Source organism: Homo sapiens, chromosome 7 (genome assembly GCF_000001405.40).
Source record: "Homo sapiens chromosome 7, GRCh38.p14 Primary Assembly".
Taxonomy (NCBI): Eukaryota; Metazoa; Chordata; class Mammalia; order Primates; family Hominidae; genus Homo; species Homo sapiens.
Genome location: NC_000007.14, coordinates 51,556,371 through 51,579,679, shown reverse-complemented (window position 1 = coordinate 51,579,679; position 23,309 = coordinate 51,556,371). Strand labels below are relative to the sequence as shown.

The following is a 23,309-nucleotide window of genomic DNA, read 5'->3' as shown; positions in this document are numbered from 1 at the left end:
TTTTAAAAAAAGAAAGCCAGTAGAAAAAATATTGAAATCAAAAATGTATTATTTGGCTGAGTGCAGTGGTTCACGCCGTAATCCCAACACTTTGGAAGGCTGAGGTGGGTGGATCACCTGAAGTTAGGAGTTTGAGACCAGCCCGGCCAACATGGCAAAACCCTGTCTACTAAAAAAATACAAAAACTAGCCAAGCATGGTGGCACACACCTGTGATCCCAGCTACTCAGGAGACTGAGGCAGGAGAATCGCTTGAACCCAGGAAGCAGAGGTTGCAGGGAGCTGAGATCGTGACACTGCATTCCAGCCTGGGTGACACAGCAAGACTCTGTCACAAAAAAACACACAAATATATATATATATAAAATATATAAATATATACAAATATAAATTTATATATACAAATATATAATATATATAATTATATATGTATAATTTTTATATACTATATAGATATATATAAAATTTGAAAAAAATAAACAAAATTGACAAACTTTTAGCTGGCCAGAAACAAATGGGAGAAGATTTATATTACCAATGTAAGTAAACAAAAAGGGGACATCACTATTGACCATACATAAACAAGAAGGATTTTAAGGGAATACTATGACAAATTATATGTCAATAAATAGATAAATTCCTAAAAAGATACAAACCACTAAAGTGGACAAAAACATAAAAATAAATTTTGAACAGATCTATAAGAAGTAAAGCTGTTAAATTAGTAATCAGAAAAGCTAACCACAAAGAAAACTCCAGAACAAGATAGTGTCACTGGTAAATTATTTCAAATACTTAATGAATAATCATCAATGTGCCACAAAGTCTTCCAAAAAATAAAAAAGGAAATTCATTTATTATTTCTATTCAAAATTTTACCATTCAGGTAAATTAGGGGGAAAAAAAGTAAAAAGTATCCAGATTGGAAGGAAAGAAGTAAAATTTTCTCTGTTCACAGGTGACATGATTCGTACAAAGAAAATTCTAAGGAAAACACACACACACACACACAGACACACGAAAGAAATAGAATTGAGAGTCTAGAAATGACCTCTTACATTTATGATCATTTAGTAGTTTTACAAGAAAGTCAAGACAAATCAAGAAGGAAACATTATCTTTTTAACAAATGATGCTGGATGGCACATGTATACATATGTAACTAACCTGCACATTGTGCACATGTACCCTAAAACTTAAAGTATAATAATAATAAAATAAAAAAATAAAATAAATAAAAACAAATGATGCTGGAAAAACTGGATATCCACATGCAAAATAATGAAGGTAGATCCTCCCCTCACACCATATACAAAAACTAAAAATGAATCAAACACCTAAATAAAAAAACTAAAACTATAAAACTCTTAGGAAAAAATACATAGAAATAAATTCTCATGATCTTGGGTTAAGCAATGTTTCATTAGACATGACACTGAAGCACAAGCAATGAAAGAAAAAAGTGGACATATTCTACTTGATAAATTTAAAACTTCTGTTCCTCAAAGGGCACAATCAAAAAAGTGAAAAGATGATCTACAGAATCAAAGAATCTGAAAGTCATGCATCTGATAAGGGCCTAGTATCCAAAATAGTATAAAGACCTCCTGCAATTCAACAATAAAAAGACAAATAATCAAATTTTTAAATGAGCAAATGACTCAAACACACGTTTCTCTAAAGAAGATAACGAGCTTGCTGGGTCCCCAAGCAGGCCATTTCTGCCTGGCACCACAGGGACCCTTTGGGAGGGCAGCCAGAGTTGTGGGGGGAAAATGCTGCAAGGAGAAGGTAGTCTCCAATTTGACCAATTTTGTGACCATTTGAACTGGGTGAAAAGCCTTCTGCCCAGAACTCAGGGAAGGGCATGAATCCAGTGTTCAGACTTCACAGGCAGGGGAAGAAATAAAACCCTGTTCTTTCTCAGAGGGGAGGTGGGTAGCCTGGAGCAAGTTCTCAAGCCCTGTTCACCCACTGCCTGGAAACAGACTCAGGCTGTTACGTGGGGCACGGTAAGACTGAGTCCAGCCCTTCAGATCATGTGGGAGCTGGGTGAGGACTGTGACTGCCGACTTTCCCCCACTGCCCTGATAACCTGCATGACTCAGCAAGGGAAGTCATAATGCTCCTAGGTACACAACTCCATTGACTTGGGAACCTCGTCCAGTTCCTCTACAGCAGCCTCAGCAAGACCTACCCAATGACAGTCTGAGCTCAGACATGCCTGGTACTGACCCCACCTGATGGGCCTTCCCTATCCACCCTGGTAGCTGAAGACAAAGGGTATATACTCTTGGGAGTTCTAGGGCCCCACCCACTGCCGGTTCCTCTCAATACTACTACAGCTGATGCTCTCTGGAAAGTGCCACCTCCTGGCAGGAGGCCAACCAGCAAAAAAATAGAGTATTAAACCACCAAAGCTAAGAATTCTCACAGAGTCCATTTCACCCCCTACCACCTCCACCAGAACAGGTGCTGTATCCACAGCTGAGAAATCCATAGAGCGTTCACATCACAGGACTCTGTGCAGACAACCCCCAGTACCAGCCCAGAGCCAGGAAGACTTGCTGGGTGGGTAGACCCAACAGAGAGATGATGATCACTGCAACTCAGCTCACAGGGAGCCACATCCATAGGAAAAGGAGGAGAGTACTACATCAAGGGAACAACCTGTTGGTCAAAAGAATCTGAACAATAACCTTCAGCCCTAGACCTTCCATCTGACAGAGCCTAATCAAATGAAAAGGCACCAGAAAACAAACCCTGGTAATATGACAAAACAAGGCTCTTTAATACCCCCAAGAAATCACACTAGCTTACCAACAATGAATCCAAATCAAGAAGAAATCCCTGATTTACCTGAAAAAAAGTTCAGGAGGTTAGTTATTAAGCTAATCAGGGAGGCACCAGAGAAAGGTGAAGCCCAATGCAAGGAAATCCAAAAAATGATACTAGAAGTGAAGGGAAAAATATTCAAGGAAATAGAGAGCTTAAAGAAAAAACAATCAAAACTTTGGGAAACATTGGACACACATAGAAATGCAAAATGCTCTGGAAAATCTCAACAATAGCATTGAATAAGTAGAAGAAAGAAATTCAGAGATTGAAGACAAGGTCTTTGAATTAACCCAATCCAATAAAGATGAAGAAAAAAGAATAAGAAAATATGAACAAAGCCTCCAAGAAGTCTGGGATTATGTTAAACAACCAAACCTAAGAATAATCAGTGTTCCTGAGGAAGAAGAGAAATCTAAAAGTTTAGAAAACATATTTGGGGGAATAATTGAGGAAAACTTCCACACCCTTGCTAGAGACCTAGACATCCAAATACAAGAAGCACAAAAAACATCTGGGAAATTCATCACAAAATTCATCACCTAGGGACATTGTCCTCAGGTTATTTAAAGTTAAGACGAAGGAAAGAATCTCAAGAGCTGTGAGACAAAAGCACCAAGTAAACTATAAAACAAAACCTATCAGATTAACAGCAGATTTCTCAGAAGAAACCCTACAAGTTAGAAGGGATTGGGGCCCTATCTTCAGCCTCCTCAAACAAAACAATCATCAGCCAAGAATTTTGTATCCAGCAAAACTAAGCATCATATATGAAGGAAAGACACAGTCTTTTTCAGACAAACAAATGCTGAGAGAATTTGCCACTACCAAGCCACCACTACAAGATCTGCTAAAAGGAGCTCTAAATCCTGACACAAATCCTGGAATCACATCAGAACAGAGCCTCTTTAAAGCATAAATCACATAGGACCTATAAAACAAAAATACAATTTAAGAAGCAAAAACAAAAAAAAAAAAAAAACAAGGTACACAGGCAATAAATAGTATGATGAATACAATGATACCTCACTTCTCAATACTAGCATTGAATGTAAATTTCCTAAATGCCCCTCTTAAAAGATACAGGACTGCAGAATGGATAAGAACTCACCAACCAACTATCTGCTGCCTTCAGGAGACTCACCTCACACATAAGGACTCACATAAACATAAAGTAAAAGGGTTGAAAAAGGCATTTCATGCAAATGGACATCAAAAGTGAATGAGAGTAGCTATTCTTATATCAGACAAAACAAACTTTAAAGCAACAGCAGTTAAACGAGACAAAGAGGGACATTGTATAATGGTAAAAGGCCATCTCCAACAGGAAAATATCACAATCCTAAACATATATGTACCTAACACTGGAGTTCCCAAATTTATAAAACAATTACTAGTAGACCTAAGAAATTAGATAAACAGCAACACAATAATAGTGGGGGACTTCAATACTACACTGACATCACTAGACTGGTCATCAAGGTAGAAAGTCAACAAAGAAACAATGGATTTAAACTATACCCTGGAGGAAATGGACTTAACAGATATATACAGAACATTTCATCCAATGACCACAGAATACACATTCTATTCAACAGCATGTGGAACTTTCTCCAAGATAGACCATATCATAGGCCACAAAATAAGCCTCAATAAATCTAAGAAAATTGAAATTATATCAAGCACTCTCTCAGACCACAGTGACATAAAACTGGAAATCAATTTGAAAAGGAACCTTCAAAACCATGCAAATACATGGAAATTAAATAACCTGCTCCTGAATGATCATTGGGTCAACAATGAAATCAAGATGGAAATTTAAAAATTCTTCAAACTGAATGACAATAATGATACAACCTATCACAACCTCTAGGATACAGCAAAGGCAGTGCTAAGAGGACCATTCATAGCCCTAAATGCCTCCATCAAAAATACTGAAAGAGCACAAACTGACATTCTAAGGTCACACCTCAAGGAACTAGAGAAAGAAGAAAAAACAAAACCCAAACCCAGCAGAAGAAAGGAAATAACCAAGATCAGAGCAGAACTCAATGAAATTGAAACAAAAAAATACAAAAAATAAATGAAACAAAAAGTTGGTTATTTGAAAAGATAAAATTGATAGACCATTAGCAAGATTAATCAAGAAAAGAAAAGAGAAAATCCAAAAAACCTCAATAAGAACTGAAATGAGAGCTATTACAACTGACACCACAGAAATACAAAAGATCATTCAAGGCTACTATGAACACAAAACACATAAGTTTATGCACATAAACTAGAAAACCTAGAAGAGATGGATAAACTCCTGGAAAAATACAACCCTCCTAGTTTAAATCAAGAAGAAATAGATACCCTGAACAGACCAATAACAAGCAGCAAGATTGAAGTGGTAATTTTAAAATTACCAACCAAAATAAAAGCCCAGGACCAGATGGATTCACAGCATAATTCTACCAGACATTCAAACAAGAATTGGTACCAATCTTTTCAACACTTAGAGAAAGAGGGAACCCTCCCTAATTCATTCTATGAACCCAGCATCACCCTAATACCAAAACCAGGAAAGGACATAACCAAAAAAGAAAACAACAGACCAATATCCCTGAGGAACATAGATGCTAAATTCCTTAACAAAATACTAGCTAACTAAATCCAACAACATATCAAACAGATAATCCACCATGGTCAAGTAGGTTTCATATCAGGGATGTAGGGATGATTTAACATAAGCAAGTCAATAAATGTGATACACCACATAAAGAGAATTAAAAACAAAAATCACATGATCATTTCAATAGATGCAGAAAAAACATTCGACAAAAATCCAGCATTGCTTTATGATTAAAACTCTCAGCAAAATTGGCCTACAAGGGACATACTTGAATGTAATACAAGCCGTCTATGACAAACCCACAGCCAACATAATACTGAATGGGGAAAAGTTGAAAGCATTCCCTCTGAGAACTGGAACAAGACAAGGATGCCCACTCTCACCATTCCTCCTCATCGTAGTACTGGAAGTTCTAGCCAGAGCAATCAGACAAGAGAAAGAAATCAAGAGCATCCAAATCAGTAAAGAGGAAATCAAACTGTCACTGTTTGCTGATGATATGATCATTTACCTCGAAAACCCTAAAGACTCCTACAGAAAGCTCCTAGAACCGATAAAAGAATTCAGCAAAGTTTCTAGATACAAGATTAATGTACACGAATCAGTAGCTCTTCTATACAAGAACAGCAACCAAGCAGAGAATCAAATCGAGAATTCAACCCCTTTTACTGAAAAAAAAAAACTTAAGAATATACCTAACCAAGGAAGAGAAAGACATCTACAAGGAAAACTACAAAACACTACTGAAAGAAATCATAGACAACACAAACAAATGGAAACACATCCCATGCTCATGGATGGGTAGAATCAATATTGTGAAAATTGACCATACTGTCAAAGCAATCTACAAATTCATTGCAATCCCCATCACAATACCACCATCATTCTTCACAGAATTAGGAAAAACAGTTCTAAAATTCATATGGAACCAAAAAAGAGCCTGCATAGCCAAAGCAAGACTAAGTAAAAAGGACAAAACTGGAGGCATCACGCTACCTGATTTCAAACTATACTATAAGGCCATAGTCACCAAAACAGCTTGATACCAGTATAAAAATAGGCACATAGACCAATGGAACAGAATAGAGAACCCAGAACTACACCCAAATACTTACAGCCAACTGATGTTTGACAAAGCAAACAAAAGCATAAAGTGGGGAAATGATGCCCTTTTCAACAAATGGTGCTGGGATAATTGGCTAGCTACATGTAGGAGAATGAAACTGGATCCTCATCTCTCACCTTATACAAAAATCAACTCAAGATGGATTAAGGACTTAAATCTAAGACCTGAAACTATAAAAATTCTAGAAGATAACCTTAGAAAAACCCTTCTAGACATTGGTTTGGGCAAGGATTTCATGACCAAGAACCCAAAAGCAAATACAACAAAAACAAAGATAAATAGTTGGGACTTAATTAAACTAAAGAGCTTTTGCATGGCAAAAGGAACAGTCAGCAGAGTAAACAGACAACCCACAGAGTGGGGGAAAATCTTCACAATCTATACATCTGACAAAGGACTAATATCCAGGATCTACAACGAACTCCAACAAATCAGCAAGAAAAAAACAAACAATCCCATCAAAAAGTAGGCTAACAACATAAATAGACAATTCTCAAAAGAAGATATACAAATGGCCAACAAACATATGAAAAAATTCTCAACATCACTAATGATCAGAGAAATACAAATCAAAACCACAATGCAATACCACCTTACTCCTGCAAGAATGGCCATAATCAAAAAATCAAACAACAGTAGATGTTGGTATGGATTCAGTAATCAGGGAGCACTTCTACACTGCTGGTGGGAATGTAAATTATTACAGCCACTATGGAAAACAGTTTAAAGATTCCTTAAAGGACTAAAAGTAGAACTACCATTTGATCCAACAATCCCACTACTGGGTATCTACCCAGAGGAAAAGAAGTCATTATACTTGCACATGCATGTTTATAGCAGCACAATTCACAATTGCAAAATCATGGAACCAGTCCAAATGCCCATCAATAAACAAGTGGATAAAGAAACTGTGGTATATATATATTCCATATATATACTCATATATATTCCATCTCACGTATATATATACACACATATATATTCCATCTCATATATATATATATACTCACACATATATATTCCATATATGTATATTCCATATATATATTCCATATATGTATATTCCATATATATATTCCATATATGTATATTCCATATATATATATATTCCATCTCATATATATGATGGAATACTACTCAGCCATAAAAAGGAATGAATTAATGCCATTCACAGCATATATATATATATATATATATATATATATGAGATGGAATACTACTCAGCCATAAAAAGGAATGAATTAATGGCATTCGCAGCGACCTGGATGAGACTGGAGACCATTATTCTAAGTGAAGTAACTCAGGAATGGAAAACAAAACACCATATGTTCTCACTGATATATGGGAGCTAAGCTATGAGGAAACAAAGGCATAAGAATGATACAATGGATTTTGGGGACTTGAGGGGAAGGGTGGGAGGGACCAAGAGATTAAAGACTACAAATGTGATGCAGTGTACGCTGCTCAGGTAATGGCTGCACCAAAATCTCACAAATCACCACTAAAGAACTTACTTATGTAACCAAACACCACCTGTACCCCAATAACCTATGGAAATTTTTTAAAATTTTAATTTAATTTAATTTTAAAAAAGAAATGGCAAATAAGCATATGAAAAAATGCTCCTCAGCACCAGTCATTACGAAATGTAAATCAAAATCATGATGAGATACCAGTTCACACTATCCTTTTAGCTATCTTTTTTTAATTTTAGGATAGCTAAAATAAAAAAGATGAAGTGTTTGTGAAGACCTGAAGAAAATGGAAGTCTCATACATTGCTAGTTTGGTGTAAAATGGTACAACCACTCTGGAAAATAGTTTGACAACTCCTCAAAATCTTAAATATAAACTTCATATAACTGAGAAATTTTATTCTTGGTGTATACTCAGATAATTAAAAACATGTGTCCACACAAAAACTTGTGTATCAATGTTCTAAGCAGCATCAACCACCAAAAAGTGTAAACTCAAATGTCTATCAGCTTATTAATGGGTGAACATCATGTATTATATACATACAATGGAATCTTTTTCAGCCATAAAAAGAAATGAAGTACTGACTCACGCTACATGGATTAACCCCGAAACTGTTTTGCTGGGTGAAAGAAGCCAGTCATGAAAGAGCACAAACTGTTGATTGCATTATATGAAAAGCCCAGAATAGAAAAGTTCATGAAGACCTAAAGTAGATTAGTGGTTTCCAGGGGATTAGGGGAGAGGCAAATCGGTAGTGAGTGCTAATGGGTACTGGATTTCTTTTTGTGCTAATAATTTTCTAAAGTTAGATAGTAGTGATGGTTGCACAGCCCGGTGAATAGACTAAAAACACTGGTTTGTATACTTTAAAAGGGTGAATTTTATGGTATACATCTCTATAAAGTCATTATTAAATATAGAATTAGACCAGTGAATCTGATCCATGAATTAACACAGGGCTGTTTGAGACCTGGGGACAGAGTGGATCACTTGCCAGGAGGTACATCATCTACAACGTTATACTTTATTGCCATTTAAAAGTCCACCATGTGAGTTTTTTATCTAACCACCTTCCTTGTCTGCTTACTCTATACACTAAATGTCATTACTCCCATCACCATACTCACCTCTTTCCATCTCCTCTTCCACTTCCCATGAAATCTGTGGCTCTCACTGCAGCCCTGGTTACCTGACGGTTCACATCTGTGATCAGCCCGTCTTCTCACTGTAAAGCCAAGGTTTACACAGCAGAGCTCCCCAGGAACACTCCAGATTGCATTTTCCACCTGCACAGGAGCAAATGGGGTTTAAACACATGATTGGGGTCAGAGCCTTGGCTTTGGCCATCTCATATGAGTGCTTGGATTGGAAGTTTTAAGCAAGGCCATGTCACCTTTACTTAGTGTTCAACATTCAAACAATACGTAGATCTATTTTTCACTTGTAGGAGTGCAGATAGGAATAATAACACAGCCACATTAGTTTTGTGGCCATTTGTAAATGAGAAAACTACTTCAGAAAGAACAGGTCTATTATATGGCAACAGATTAGACTTGGCAGGTCTTTCTGGCCTGAGAGTGAGAACATTATATTACTTGAAAGGGCATACATTTACCCAGCAATTCATATAATACAGAATAAACCAGAAGCTGGAAATTAGTAAATATAACAGTGCCTTTTGCAAAGAACCTGGCATTACACTAAGATCTAAAAATAGAAATATGTGGAACAAGAGCCCAGCGCAGAAGTATCTCTGATCCTGCTCTGTCTCCCTGAACCACTGCTATTGCCTCAGCTCAGTCCTGCACCAGCCCTTGCCTAGACTGTGAAAATTGCTTCTTAATTGTTTTTCTGATTACATTTGAAGCCCCTCAAGCTGATCTTCTACACAGCCTCTCAAGATAATCTGTCTAAAAGGAATCGTGTCCATAATCCACAAGATTCAAGTTACACGACACATGGAGCTCTTTCTCTTGTCATCCTTCTTGCTGTCACCTCATGATGTAGTCTGGATGAAATCTCTTGCAGCTTTGTTGCAAGTCATTCACGAATTTAGCACTACCAGGTACCCTGCTAGAGGCCTGATTTCATTTCACATATTTAATCTTTCCAACAAAACTGCCCCCACTTAACAGGCGAAGACATAAAATAAATTGTCAACGTCACCTGGATGGAAAGGCGGCAGTCCAGATCCTCCAGTGTGCACGCCACACCCAAACCCCTTGGCTGCTTTATTGCTGGATCACCTGTGCTCTCTGGGGCCTGCATGCCTTCACTCATACGTGTTTCTCTCTCTGACATGTTCTGTGCCTGGTAAACTTCTCTCAGGGCCCAGGTCAAGTGCCAGCTTTGCTGTGAAGGCTCTGTGACTCCCCAGAAGCTGCTCCCCTGACATCCCTCCTTGTGCTTCCCACATGTCCCTGAGCTGCTTCTCCCATCACTGCAATGGCCTCAGAAGACCGTTTCCTTTTCATCATGGTGTGACATGTGGTAGAAACACAATAATTTATATTTTTGCTTTTTAAAACTGTTTTCCATTTTTATTGCATTAGAATAACATAAAATTTACCATCTTAACCATATGAAGTGCACAGTTTAGTGATATTAAGTATATTCATAATATTGTGCACCCATCACCACCACCCATCTGCATAACCTTTCATCCTGTAAAAGGGAAACTCTGTACCTGATAAACACAAACTCCCCATTCTGTCCTCCTCCCAGCTTTTGAAAACCACCATTCTACTTTCTGTCTTTATGAATTTGACTAGTCTAGGGACCTCATATAAGTGGAATTGCACAGTATTTGCCTTTTTGTGACTGGCTTATTTCACTTAGCATAATGTCCTCAAGGTTAATCCATGTGGATTATGTCTCAGAATTCCCTTCCTTTAAGGCCAAATCGTTTGTTTACACCATGTTTTGTTTATACATTCATATGTCAATGGACCCCTGGGTTGCTTCCACATTTTAGCTAGTGTACATAAGGCAGCTATGAACATGGCATACAAATGTCTCTTGGATATGCTGCTTTCAATTATTTTGAGTATGTACCCAGAAGTGGAATTATTGGATCACAAGGTAATTCTATTTTTTAAGTTTTTGAGATACTATCATGTTGTCTTAGTGGCTGTAACATGTTACGTTCCCACAGAGAGTATACAAGAGTTCCAATTTCTTCACTTCCTCACCCACACTTGTAAATTCCTGATTTTTGATACTAGTCATCCTCATGGGTGTGAGGTGGCCTCTCAATTTGGTTTGCACTTCCCTAATGACTAGCGATGTTGGGCATCTTTTCATGTGCTTATGGACCATTTGTATGTCTTCTTTAGAGAAAGGTCCATTCAAGTCCTTCAATCCATTTTTGAATAGGGTTGTTTATTTATTGTTGTTAAGTTTTAGGAATTCTCTATATATTCTAGTTATTAATCTACTTTCAATTATTTTTACCCATTCTGTGGATTGTCCTTTTACTCTGTTGATATTATCTTTTGATGCAGAAATGTTTTCATTTTCACAAAATCCAGTTTGTCTACAATTGATAGTTACAGAATGACAGTCACAAGGATAACACGAACTTCCTATTTAACTCCTATATTTGTCTTTTGTGTTCTGAACAGATCTGGCATTGTCATTAGAATCCACATTCTGTCTTCCTGAAGCTTTAGGTTGAGGATGACCCTGTGCCAAGGGGCACTCATGGGGGATGGGGTACGGTAGGATAGCATCAGCACCTCAATAAACCCCAGAGTGCGCACGTCCAGGCACGCCGTGACAAGTAAGGAGAGGAAACCTGGGTTTAGGGCCCCAACCAACATGCCCACAGAGGGGGGTTAGGGAAGCTGTCAAAACCGTCTTTTAAATTCTAATTTTTTTTAGATGGAGTTTCATTCTTATTGTCCAGGGTGGAGTGCAATGGCGCTATCTCCGCTCGCTTGAACCTCCGCCTCCCGGGTTCAAGTGATTCTCCTGCCTCAGCCTCCCACGTAGCTGGGATTACAGGCACCCGCCATCAAGCCCAGCTAATTTTTTACGTATTTTTAGTAGAGACAGAGTTTCACCAGGTTGGCCAGGCTGGTCTTGAACTCCTGACCATAGGTGATCCAGCCACCTTGGCCTCCCAAAGTGCTGAGATTACAGGCGTGAGCCACTGCACCTGGCCACATTTGAATTTCTTTAGAGTATAGATGTAAAATATTTTAGCACATTTGGAAAATACAGAAAAAAAATTTAAAAAATAAAAAGATCACTTAAAACCCATGACCTGGAAATAACTGCTGTTAAGTGCCAGTGAAATTTCTCCCCAGTGTTTTCAGTTTGCTTATTTGTTTGTTTTCCTCTTCTCTGTGTATTGTAAGGGATACGCTCTTCTGCTGGGCTACTGTTTCAAAGAAAAATTTCTGTAGGTGACTTTTCCCCCTTGGGGATACTTAGCAATGGCTGGAAACACTTTTGGTTGTCAAGGGTACTACTGGCATCTAGTGGGTAGGGACCAGAGATGCTGCTAAACATTCTACAATATCCAGGACACACACACACACACACACACACACACACTGAGTAAAGAATTATGTCCACAAAATGTCAACTGTACCGAGGTTGGGAAGTTCTGCTCTGCACCTGCATCATCTTGCAGGCTTGTTCAAGCATGGGTTACCAAGCCCACTCTCTGAATTTCTCATTCCATTCATCTGGGTGGGACCAGACAACCTGCATTTCCAACAAGCTTCCCAGTGACCTCACACTTCCAGAGTTAGGAAGAGCCTAGGAGGATCACATCTCCACCTTTCTCTAGCTACCCACTCACCCTCCCAAAGAGGGGAGAATGAGCTGCCCTATGGGGGTGGCATCCAACATCTACCCTTCCCCCACTGACTGGAGGCCTTGCGTTCAAATCCACCTTCTCTCTCCCTGCTGGCGAGACTCCTGGTTGAGTGGCATCTGCTCTCTTCAAGGCCAGAACGCACAGGGACGCCCTTCTCTGCAGGGGCCCATTCCTGCCACCTACCTTGACCTGGGTGGGAGGAGAAGGAAGCCCACCTGGCCCCAGAAGCTGGTTTACGCTCTGCTCAGCCCAGTGCTACCCCAATACGCTCATTTTTCACCCTTTCTCATGTTGGCCAATTTCTCATTCATTTCTGAATTTAGAGGAAAAAGGGGGTGTGGTTTATGGGTCTTTTTAAGCTTCACCAAAAGGGGTTTTAACTGGAAATTGAAAAGGAGACATGTCCATGCAGCTAGCGGCAGGCAAGACCAACTTCACACGTGGGAAGTGGAAGGTCTCGGTGGTGGCCAAGGAACGAGAGTGGCTGTGGGGGCTGGGGACTCTTACTTACCATTTGGGGTCCCAGCAGCCTGTTGTGTCCAGCAGCCATAGGTACCCAGTTGTGCGTTTAATAGGCCCCTGGCTGTTTTTAAAAGGTACAAACTTTAGTCAGCTCTGGACAAGCAATGCCAACCGCTGGCTTTGACCTTAGCCTGTGAGGTGAGACTGAAATGAGATGAAAGGCTTGTCTCAAAACAGACCACAGGCTTTTGAGCCAATGCCATGGGAACTATTTTTGCTCCGTTTAAAATGTGTTTTCAGCCAGGACTGCAGGCAGGGGCCTTAAACAAGCACGGTGGTTCCTTTACAGGAGGGCTGCGGAGACCCTGCCACTGAAGTTCCTGGCCATCCACTCCATTCCCTCAAACATCTTACTAGTCTTCATCTCGTTTCAAACTGTGTTGCAGCTGGGCTTTGAAGGATGCAGGACAGTCACCCCCTGGTGTTTGGGGTTTGTCCTGAGAAATTTTTTTTTTTTAAGTCACACGGCCCCATGAGGACTCCACTGTTGCAGTGTTTGTTAAAAATAAACAAATTGTAAGCCTGAAGCCTGTCCTTGGATTTCAAGGACTCAGACAGTGAGCTCAGCCATAAAGGAATGATCAATGTTATCAAGGAGCAGGTAATGACAAGGGGCCAATTATACAATTATAGGGGAATCTGCTTCTTTTTCTAGGGTGTGGCTGTTTACCCAGCTAAAGGCTCTGTAAGAGGGCATAGGCCTCACATTTTCTCTAGGAATCCTGCTTCCTCAGGAGATCAGTGAGAGGCTGGATTAGGTGTGAATCTAGATTTTGTCATTAGTATCAGAAGAGAGGCAGTTGCAGACGAAAGGAAAAGCCCTGATTATACTGGAAAAAAAAAGAGGGGCTCCCTTAGAAGGATGTGAATTTTGAGGCAGCCTCCAGACACATAGAAAAGGGGTACACAGGGGCACTTCACCCCACCTGCCCCTGCTATTTCAGGATCACCGAGGAACAAAATCCAGTTACCATGACATCCTCAGCATCACTGCTGCCCACAGAAATCCACCCAGAGGCCGCAGTAGTGGCCTGGCTGCGGCTCCTCTCAAAATGAGAAGGCAGAGGTTGCAGGATTGATTTGGACAGCAAATGGTTTTGGTAGACCCAGAAATCGTTTATTTCACATTTCTCATCCTGGGGGATCCATAACATGAAACCTAGAAGAAAAACAAATGTCTAGGCCTAAAAGCAAAAGGAGAGTTTAAAAGAAAAACAGCACTGCAATAAAACAACAGCAGCCCCACAGGAGGAGGGGCCACCTTAAGCAGATGACCATGGTGGGCATCTGGCAAGGCCGCCTGAAGAAACGGAGAGTACAGGGACACCTGATGTGGAGGGCAGATCCGGAGGGGACAGGGACGCGTGATGTGGAGGGCAGATCCCTGCACAGGCTTCAAGGCAGCCATGCTGAGGAAGAGTGTAAGTGACTCAAATGGACACTAAAGGCCTCGCTCGGCTGAGGCAGAGGCAAGGCTGCAGTTTTATAGGGTGAGGAGGAGGGTCCTTGCGGTTTGGCTCAGAGATAGAAGCTGGGTGGGTTGGGGAAGGAAAATAGATTACGCTTTCCTGGAGATGACCTCACTGCCCAGGCCTTATAATTGTAAAGGAAAATCTAAAAATCTCAGGACCCCCAAACTTATGCCTGGAGGCTGAGTCATGCAACGCCCCCTTCCAAATGAATAGCTGTGACCAGTGCTATGCATCAGCCAGGTCCTCATGGAAAGGTGAAGCACCTCAGGCATCTGCACAGGGCTGTCCCTCACAGACCTTTCATAAATCAATTCTTTGTCTGCCCTCCCATAAGCAAGGACATGCCAGTTGTAATGTTAGGCCTGCAATCTAAGTCTAGCTCCTATAACTAAAGTCACATTCCACACTAATGTCAATAACAAGCTCCTCTTCCCAGGTGCAGAACCAGGTCTAGATGAGATCAGCCCTTCCTCTACCTCATTCCTTCTCTATTCATGCATCCACCTTATCTTAGTTAAAATGTATATTTACCAGGCACTGACCAAAGTCTCACAGGAATGTAACCACTCGCCTTACCACCTGCTGGCCCCTCTCTCTACATGTCCTCCCCTATTTAAGGAAATGGTATAAATATGAAACCTCCTGAAAACCTCTTTGGGAAAACAGCCACACATGTGTCTGTGGCTCATGATTTTCCCAGCACACACTGAAGCTGGCTGAATAAGCCTTGATGATTGAGGCCTTTCCCTCACTCATTTCACAACCACGTCATCCATGCCATGCCCTCCCCTACACGGTCCATTTGCACATGGCCAGTATTGGGGGCAAGGGTTGGGGAAGGAAATTGGGTTTCTGTTGGATCTGAGATTCAAGTTTCTAAATGGACATAATTGAACTAGGCCCTTAGTAACTGAGGGTGCCTACAAATGTGGAGCCTCTGCCTGGGATGAGATGGTGCGTGTGGAGTTGCAGGGGTGGCCCCTCGGGCTGGGGGGGTCAACAGTCTTTATCCTTTTATCTCACCAGGTTCTGCTGTCCAACATGCCCATGACCTAGAGCTGGAGTTCTTAAGTGCTTTTATCACTTTTCTTAGGACATCTTGGGCTGGCTATAAAAGGAAGAGGTTGAGAAGGGAAAGTTAGAAAAGTGCAGGAAAGAGGAGCTCATAAAAGTAGTGTTTCATGCTGGAAGAGAACGTATAATACATCAGTGGTTATGCAATGGATGTCCATCTGGACAGGAGCTGGGGAGACTGGGGAAGGGGAGGTGCCTGGGAAGAGGCTGGTGACCCCGACCCCAGCACCTGAGCTGGAGAGCAGCAAAGAGCAGGAAGCAGAGACCCAAGAGGGCCACAAGAGAGGCTGGAGACGAACTCCTTTGTGAGGTCTAAGGGCCTCATAAAGACTGCTGGAGACTGAATTTGTCGACACGGAGTGGTCCTGGATTATGACCTGCTCAAACTTATGGTTCTGAGATGGCAGAAGTCAAATCAGTGTGAAAATTATTTTATTTAAATAAGCAAGGTATGTGAGTCTTGAATGTTGGATAGAAAATTCCCCTAGAACTTGGCCGGGCGTGGTAGCTCAGGTCTGTAATCCCAGTACTTTGGGAGTCCGAGGGGGGTGGATCACCTGGAGGTCGGGAGTTCAAGACTAGCCTGACCAACATGGAGAAACCCCATCTCTACTAAAACTACAAAAATTAGCTGGGTGTGGTAGCACATGCCTGTAATCCCAGCTACTCAGAAGGTTGAGGCAGGAGACTCACTTGAACCCCGGGGGTGAAGGTTGCAGTGGGCTGAGATTGCACCATTGCACTCCAGCCTGGGCAACAAGAGCAAAATTCCATCTCAAAAAAAAAAAAAAAAAAAAAAAAAGAAAGAAAAGAAAGAAAAGAAGAAAATTCCCCTAGAACTTAATGGAGCATGAAGGAAATTTCCAAAATCCTTAATAAGTGTAGGCCTACACTTAAGGGATGCCAGAATCTGTGAAACAGGAAGAAAGGGTTTTTGCATAATACTGGAAGAATCTGGAAATTGCAAGGGGAAGCCAAGAAGTCACCACTGTTTCTAACAGGCTATGGGTATGTGGAGTGTCCAAAAAAGGTCAGACATCTCAAAAGGACCATCATGGACGTAGGTTCTCAGAAGGGATCTGTTGTCCACAAAGGCAAGCAGCAGAGAGAGCTTGCTGGGAACAAGATGAAGACAGAAGAGGATTGTTTGTAACGCACACTGTGAAGCTTCAAGAGGAAATGAATCACCAGCCTGACCAACATGAAGAAACCCCATCTTTACTAAAAATACAAAATTAGCCAGGTGTGGTTGCACATGCCTGTAATCCCAGCTACTCGGGAGGCTGAGGCAGGAGAATAGCTTGAACCTGGAAGGCGGAGGTTGCTGTGAGCCAAGATCATGCCATTGCACTCCAGCCTGGGCAACAAGAGCGAAACTCCATCTCAAAAAAAAAAAAAAAAAAGGATTGAATCATTGGAGGAAATATGGAAATAAAGGAAAAAGGAGGCTTGAAGTCCAAAGGGAAATGCATTTTGGGAATCCCCTAAAGATTCAAGGGCTGAAGGGCTTGTATATTACAAACAGGCACTGAGCTCCACCCCAAAAAGGTTGAGGCCGAGATACACCACCGAGGATTATAACCATGGCATCCTGTCCATTGGTTTGGTATGGGAAGGGGAGGTGCTCAGTGTGTATTTTAAGTTTACTCGAAGTTTAAATAATAGAGATATTTTTGGTTGATAGAGACACGTTTTACTCCTCAGTCTCATAGCTGCCTCCTCCCAGAGCCTCACCCTCTGGCAGCAAAGGCCAAATGACACCACACTGTGAGTAGTTGATTAATGTTCATGAGGGAACCTTCTCTAGGATAAAATTTCAAACAAATGTTTGAAAAAAATGTTAATGCTCATAATTTTCTGTGTCTTTACCGTGGAGATGGAGACACAACCACCTGATACCCAGCACATGAATCCAAACTTTATGAGCTTTACTTTTCTTCCCCATCACAGTCTGCCTTTCAGAGTTGCCAAACCATACAGGGCCTAGATATAAAGAGTACAGTGACAGCCACCATCTACAGAGCCTGATGATTATGTTCCAACACTGACTGTCCAGACGTTTAACCACATGAGGTAGATACAAGTCTCCCATTTCACAGGTGAGAAAACTTGTCTTCTTCTGAAAATAAATAGCTGATGCATGTCGCCTCACTAGAAACTATTATGTTGGTGCAAAAGTGATTACTTTTTACAAAAAGTAAAATTTTACACCTTTAGAAAACAGAAGCTTTTGGCCGGGCGTGGTGGTTCACACCTGTAATCCCAGCACTTTGGGAGGCCGAGGCAGGCTGATCACCTGAGGTCAGGAGTTCAAGATCAGCCTGACCAACATGGAGAAACCCCATCTCTACTAAAAATACAAAATTAGCTGGGGTAGTGGTACATGCCTGTAATCCCAGCTACTCTGGGGGCTGAGGCAGGAGAATCGCTTGAACCCAGGAGGCTTGGCAGTGAGCCAAGATCACACCATTGCACTCCAGCCTGGGCAACAAGAGCGAAACTCTGTCTCAAAAAAAAGAAAAAAAAAGAAAAGAAAAAAGAAAAAAAAAAGAAAACAGAAGCTTTTTCCCCTCCACCTCCCACAAGAAGACTTTCATACTCACTGAAAAAGTGATAACATTTTTGGCAGATCTACTTATTTGCAAACAATGTCTTTCCAAATCATTACTGGTGTAAGTGTCATTGTTTCCTTCAGAGTCAAATAATAAAGCTATATATTTGTGGACAGCATTTCATTTAAAAGAGAAACAAAGAAAAACATTCAGACAGTCCTCATGCAAGAGACTCATTTCCAGACTATATCCAACATTGTGTTTATTCTCCAGTGGTTTATGTGGGTGGCACAGAAAATCTTTGAGGCAGCAAAACTGCTACAGAGAAAACTTTGCATCCTGCTAGGCATTCCATCTGGCTGGACTACCATAGCTGGAACCTGCTTTCAGCTGTGAAATTTTGTAAAGTGCATTTCTGCCTCCTTAATTCTTATTTTTGTAGGAGTCTGTCCTGATTCTCAAACTATACAATTATTTATTGAAAGGTGGCCATCTGATAAATTTGTTGAAATCTCATTCCCCATCACATCTCCCGCTCAGTGCTCACCCTCAGATCTTGAAAGTGCAAACTCTCAGTCATTCATGAATGAAAGAATGAACACAAGCAGAAGAAAAGAGATGATCAGCACCTGCAAGATTATACATTATTGTGAGATTATCTATTCATCCTTTTGGTTGTATTAATAATTGTATTAGTCTGTTCTTACACTGCTATGAAGAAATACCCAAGACTGGGTAATTTATAAAGAAAAGAGGTTTAATTGACTCACAGTTCTATATGGCAGGGGAGTCCTCAGGAAACTTAAAGTCATGGCAGAAGGCACCTCTTCAAGAGTGGCAAGCGACAGAGAATGAGAATCCAGCAAAGGAGCAAGCCCCTTATAAAATCTTCAGATCACAGGAGAACTCACTCACTATCATGAGAATAGCATGGGAGAAACTGCCCCATGATTCAATTACCTCCCACTGGGTCCCTCCCACAACACATGGGCATTATGGGAACTAATTCAACATAAGATGTTGCTGAGGACACAGCCAAACCATATCATTCTGCCCCTGGCCCCTCCCAAATCTCAGGTCTTCACATTTCAAAACAAATCATGCCTTTCCAACGGTTCCCCAAAGTCTCAACTCATTGCAGCATTAACCCAAAAGTCCAAGTCCAAAGTTTCATCTGAGATAAGGCAAGTCCCTTCCACCTGTGAGCCTGTGAAATCAAAAGTCAGTTACTTCCTAGATCCAATGGGGGTACAGGCATTGGATAAATAAACCAGTTCCAAATGGGAGAAATTGGCTGAAACAAAGGGGCTAAAGGCCCTATGCAAGTCCAAAATCCAACAGGGCAGTCATTAAATCTTAAAATTCCAAAATTATCTCCTTTGACTTCATGTCTCACATCCACGTCATGCTGATGCATGAGGTGGCCTCCCATGGGGTTGGGCAGCTCTGCCCTTGTGGCTTTGCAGGGTACAGCCCCTCTCCTGGCTGCTTTCATGGCTGGCATTCAGTGCCTGCAGCTTTTCCAGGTGCACAGTGCAAGCTGTCAGTGGATCTACCATTCTGGGATCTGGAGGCAAGTGGCCCTCTTCTCACGGCTCCACTAGGCAGTGCCCCAGTGGGGACTCTGTGTGGGGGCTCCAGCCCCACATTTCTTTTTCTGCAGTGCCCTAACAGAGGTTCTCCATGAGGGCTCCTCCACTGTAGCAAACTTCTGCTTGGACATCCAAGTGTTTCCATACATCCTCTGAAATCTAGGCAGAGGTTCTCAAACCTCAGCTCTTGACTTCTGTGCACCAGCAGGCCCAACAACACATGTTAGCCATCAAGGCTTGGGGCTTGCACCCTCTGAAACAATAGCCCAAGCTATATGTTGGCCCCTTTTAGCCACTGCTGGGACTGAAGCAGGTGAGATGCAGGGCACCATGTCCCAAGGATGCACAGAGCAGGGGGGCCCTGGGCCCAGCCCACAAAACCAATTTTCCCTCCAAGGCTTCTGGGCCTGTGATGGAAGGAGCCACTGTGAAGGTCTCTGACATGCCCTGGAGACATTTTCCCAATTATCTTGGCAATTAACATTTGGCTCCTTGTTACTTATGCAAATTTCTACAGCAGGCTTGAATGTCTCCCCAGAAAATGGGTTTTTCTTTTTCTACTGCATTGTCAGGCTGAAAATTTTCCAAACTTTTATGCCCTGTCACCTCTTGAATGCTTTGCTACTTAGAAATTTATTCCACCAGATACCGTAAATAATCTCTTTCAAGTTCAAAATTCCACAGATCTGTAGGCCATAGGTAAAATGCTGCCAGTCTCTTTGGCAAAGTATAACAAGAGTCACCTTTACTCCAGTTCCCAGCAAGTTCCTCATCTCCATCTGAGACCATCTCAGCCTAAACTTCATTGTCCATATCACTATCAGCATTTTGGTCAAAACCATTCAACAAGTCTCTAGGGAGTTTCAACCTTTTTCACATTTTCCTGTCTTCTTCTCAGCCCTCCAAGTCACTAGGAAGTTCCAAACTTTCCTACATCTTTCTGTCTTCTTCTGAGCCATCCAAACTGTTCCAACCTCTGCCTGTTACCCTGTTCCAAAGTCATGTCCACATTTTTGGGTATCCTTATAGCAGCAACCCACTCCCTCAGTACCAATTTACTGTATTAGTCCATTCTCATGCTATATATTTCTCATGTTGGGTATGAAGAAATACCCAAGGCTGGGTAATTTATAAAGAAAAGAAGTTTAACTGACTCACAGTTCTTCATGGCTGGGGCAACCTCAGGAAACTTACAATCATGGCAAAAGACACTTCTTCACAGGGTGGCAGGAGAAAGAATGAGAACCCAGTTAAGGGGGAAGCCCCTTATAAAACCATCAGATCTTAAGGGGCCATTCCAAGATGGCCAAATAGGAACAGCTCTGGTCTGCCACTCCCAGCATGATGGATGCAGAAGATGGGTGATTTCTGCATTTCCAACTCAGGTATCTGGTTCATCTCATTGGGACTGGTTGGACAGTGAGTGCAGCCCATGGAGGGTGAACCAAAGCAGGGCAGGGCGTTGCCTCACCTGGGAAGCACAAGGGGTCAGAGGATTTCCCTTTCCTAGCCAAGGGAAGCCACGACAGACTACCTGGAAAAAGAGGACACCCCCATGCAAATACTGTGCTGTTCCCAAGGTCTTAGCAACCAGCAGACAAGGTGATTATCTCCCGTGCCTGGCTCTGTGGCTCCCATGCCCATGGAGCCTTGTTCACTGCTAGCACAGCAATTGGAGATCAATCTGCAAGACAGCAGCCTGGCTGGGGAGGGGCATCCACCATTGCTGAGGCTTGAGTAGGTAAACAAAGCAGCTAGGAAGCTTGAACTGGGTGGAGCCCACTGCAGCTCAACAAGGCCTACTGCTTCTAGACTCCACTTCTGTGGGCAGGGCATAGCTGAACAAAAGGCAGCAGACAACCTCTGCAGACTTAAATGTCCCTGTCTCACAGCTCTGAAGAGAGCAGTGGTTCTCCCAGCATGGCGTTTGAGCTCTGAGAGCAGACAGACTGCCACCTCAAGTGGGTCCCCGACCCCTGTGTAGACTAACTGGGAGACATCTCCCAGTAGGGGCTGACTTATACCTCATACAGGCAGGTGCCCCTCTGAGATGAAGCTTCCAGAGGAAGGATCAGGCAGCAATATTTGCTGTTCTGCAATATTTGCTGTTCTGCAGCCTTTGCTGGTGATACCCAGGCAAAGAGAGTCTGGAGTGGAACTCCAGCAAACTCCAACAGACCTGCAGCTGAGGGCTCTGACTGTTAGAAGAACAACTAACAAACAGAAAGGAATAGCATCAACATCAACAAAAAGGTCATCTACACCAAAACCCCATACGTAGGTCACCAACATCAAAGACCAAAGGTAGATAAAACCACAAAGATGGGGAGAAACCAGAGCAGAAAAGCTGAAAATTCTAAAAATCAGACCACCTCTTCTCCTCCAGAGGATTGCAGCTCCTTGCCAGCAACAGAACAAAACTGGATGGAGAATGATTTTGATGAGTTGACAGAAGTAGGCTTCAGAAGGTTGGTAATAACAAACTTCTCCGAGCTAAAGGATCATGTTCGAACTGAACACAAGGAAGCTAAAAACCTTGAAAAAAGATTAGAGAAATGGCTAACCAGAATAAACAGAGTAGAGAAGACCTTAAATGACCTGATGGAGCTGAAAACCATGGCACGAGAACTTTGTGTCGCATGCACAAGCTTCAGTAGCCGATTCGATCAAGTGGAAGAAAGGGTATCAGTGATTGAAGATCAAATTAATTAAATAAAGTGAGAAAACAAGGTTAGAGAAAAAAGAGTAAAAAGAAATGAACAAAGACTCCAAGAAATATGGGACTATGTGAAAAGACCAAATCTATGTTTGATTGGTGTATCTGAAATTGAAAGGCAGAATGGAACCAAGTTGGAATACACTCTTCAGGATATTATCCAGGAGAACTTCCCCAACCGAGCAAGGCAGGCCAACATTCAAATTCAGGAAATGCAGAGAAAACCACAAAGATACTCCTCAGGAAGAGCAACCCCAAGACACATAATTGTCAGATTCACCAAGGTTGAAATGAAGGAAAAAGTGTTAGGGGCAGCCAGAGAGAAAGGTCAGGCTACCCACAAAGAGAAGCCCATGAGACTAACAGCAGATCTCTCAGCAGAAACTCTCCAAGCCAGAAGAGAGTGGGGGCCAGTATTCAACATTCTTCAAGAAAAGAATTTTCAACCCAGAATTTCATATCCAGCCAAACTAAGCTTCATAAGTGAAGCAGAAATAAAA

General features: G+C 41.6%; 1 long non-coding RNA gene across 1 annotated transcript in view; it reads right to left on the bottom strand.

The window, feature by feature from the left end:
• Nucleotides 1–210: 210 nt before the first annotated feature.
• The window catches only part of LOC105375277 (uncharacterized), a 35,365-nt gene continuing 12,266 nt past the window's right edge, over nucleotides 211–23,309 (bottom strand). The window contains exons 2-3 of the long non-coding RNA XR_927260.4: nucleotides 9,181–9,339; nucleotides 211–328 (exon numbers count right to left, since the gene is read on the bottom strand). This is a non-coding gene — a long non-coding RNA (uncharacterized LOC105375277). The remainder of the gene's footprint in view (nucleotides 329–9,180; nucleotides 9,340–23,309) is intronic.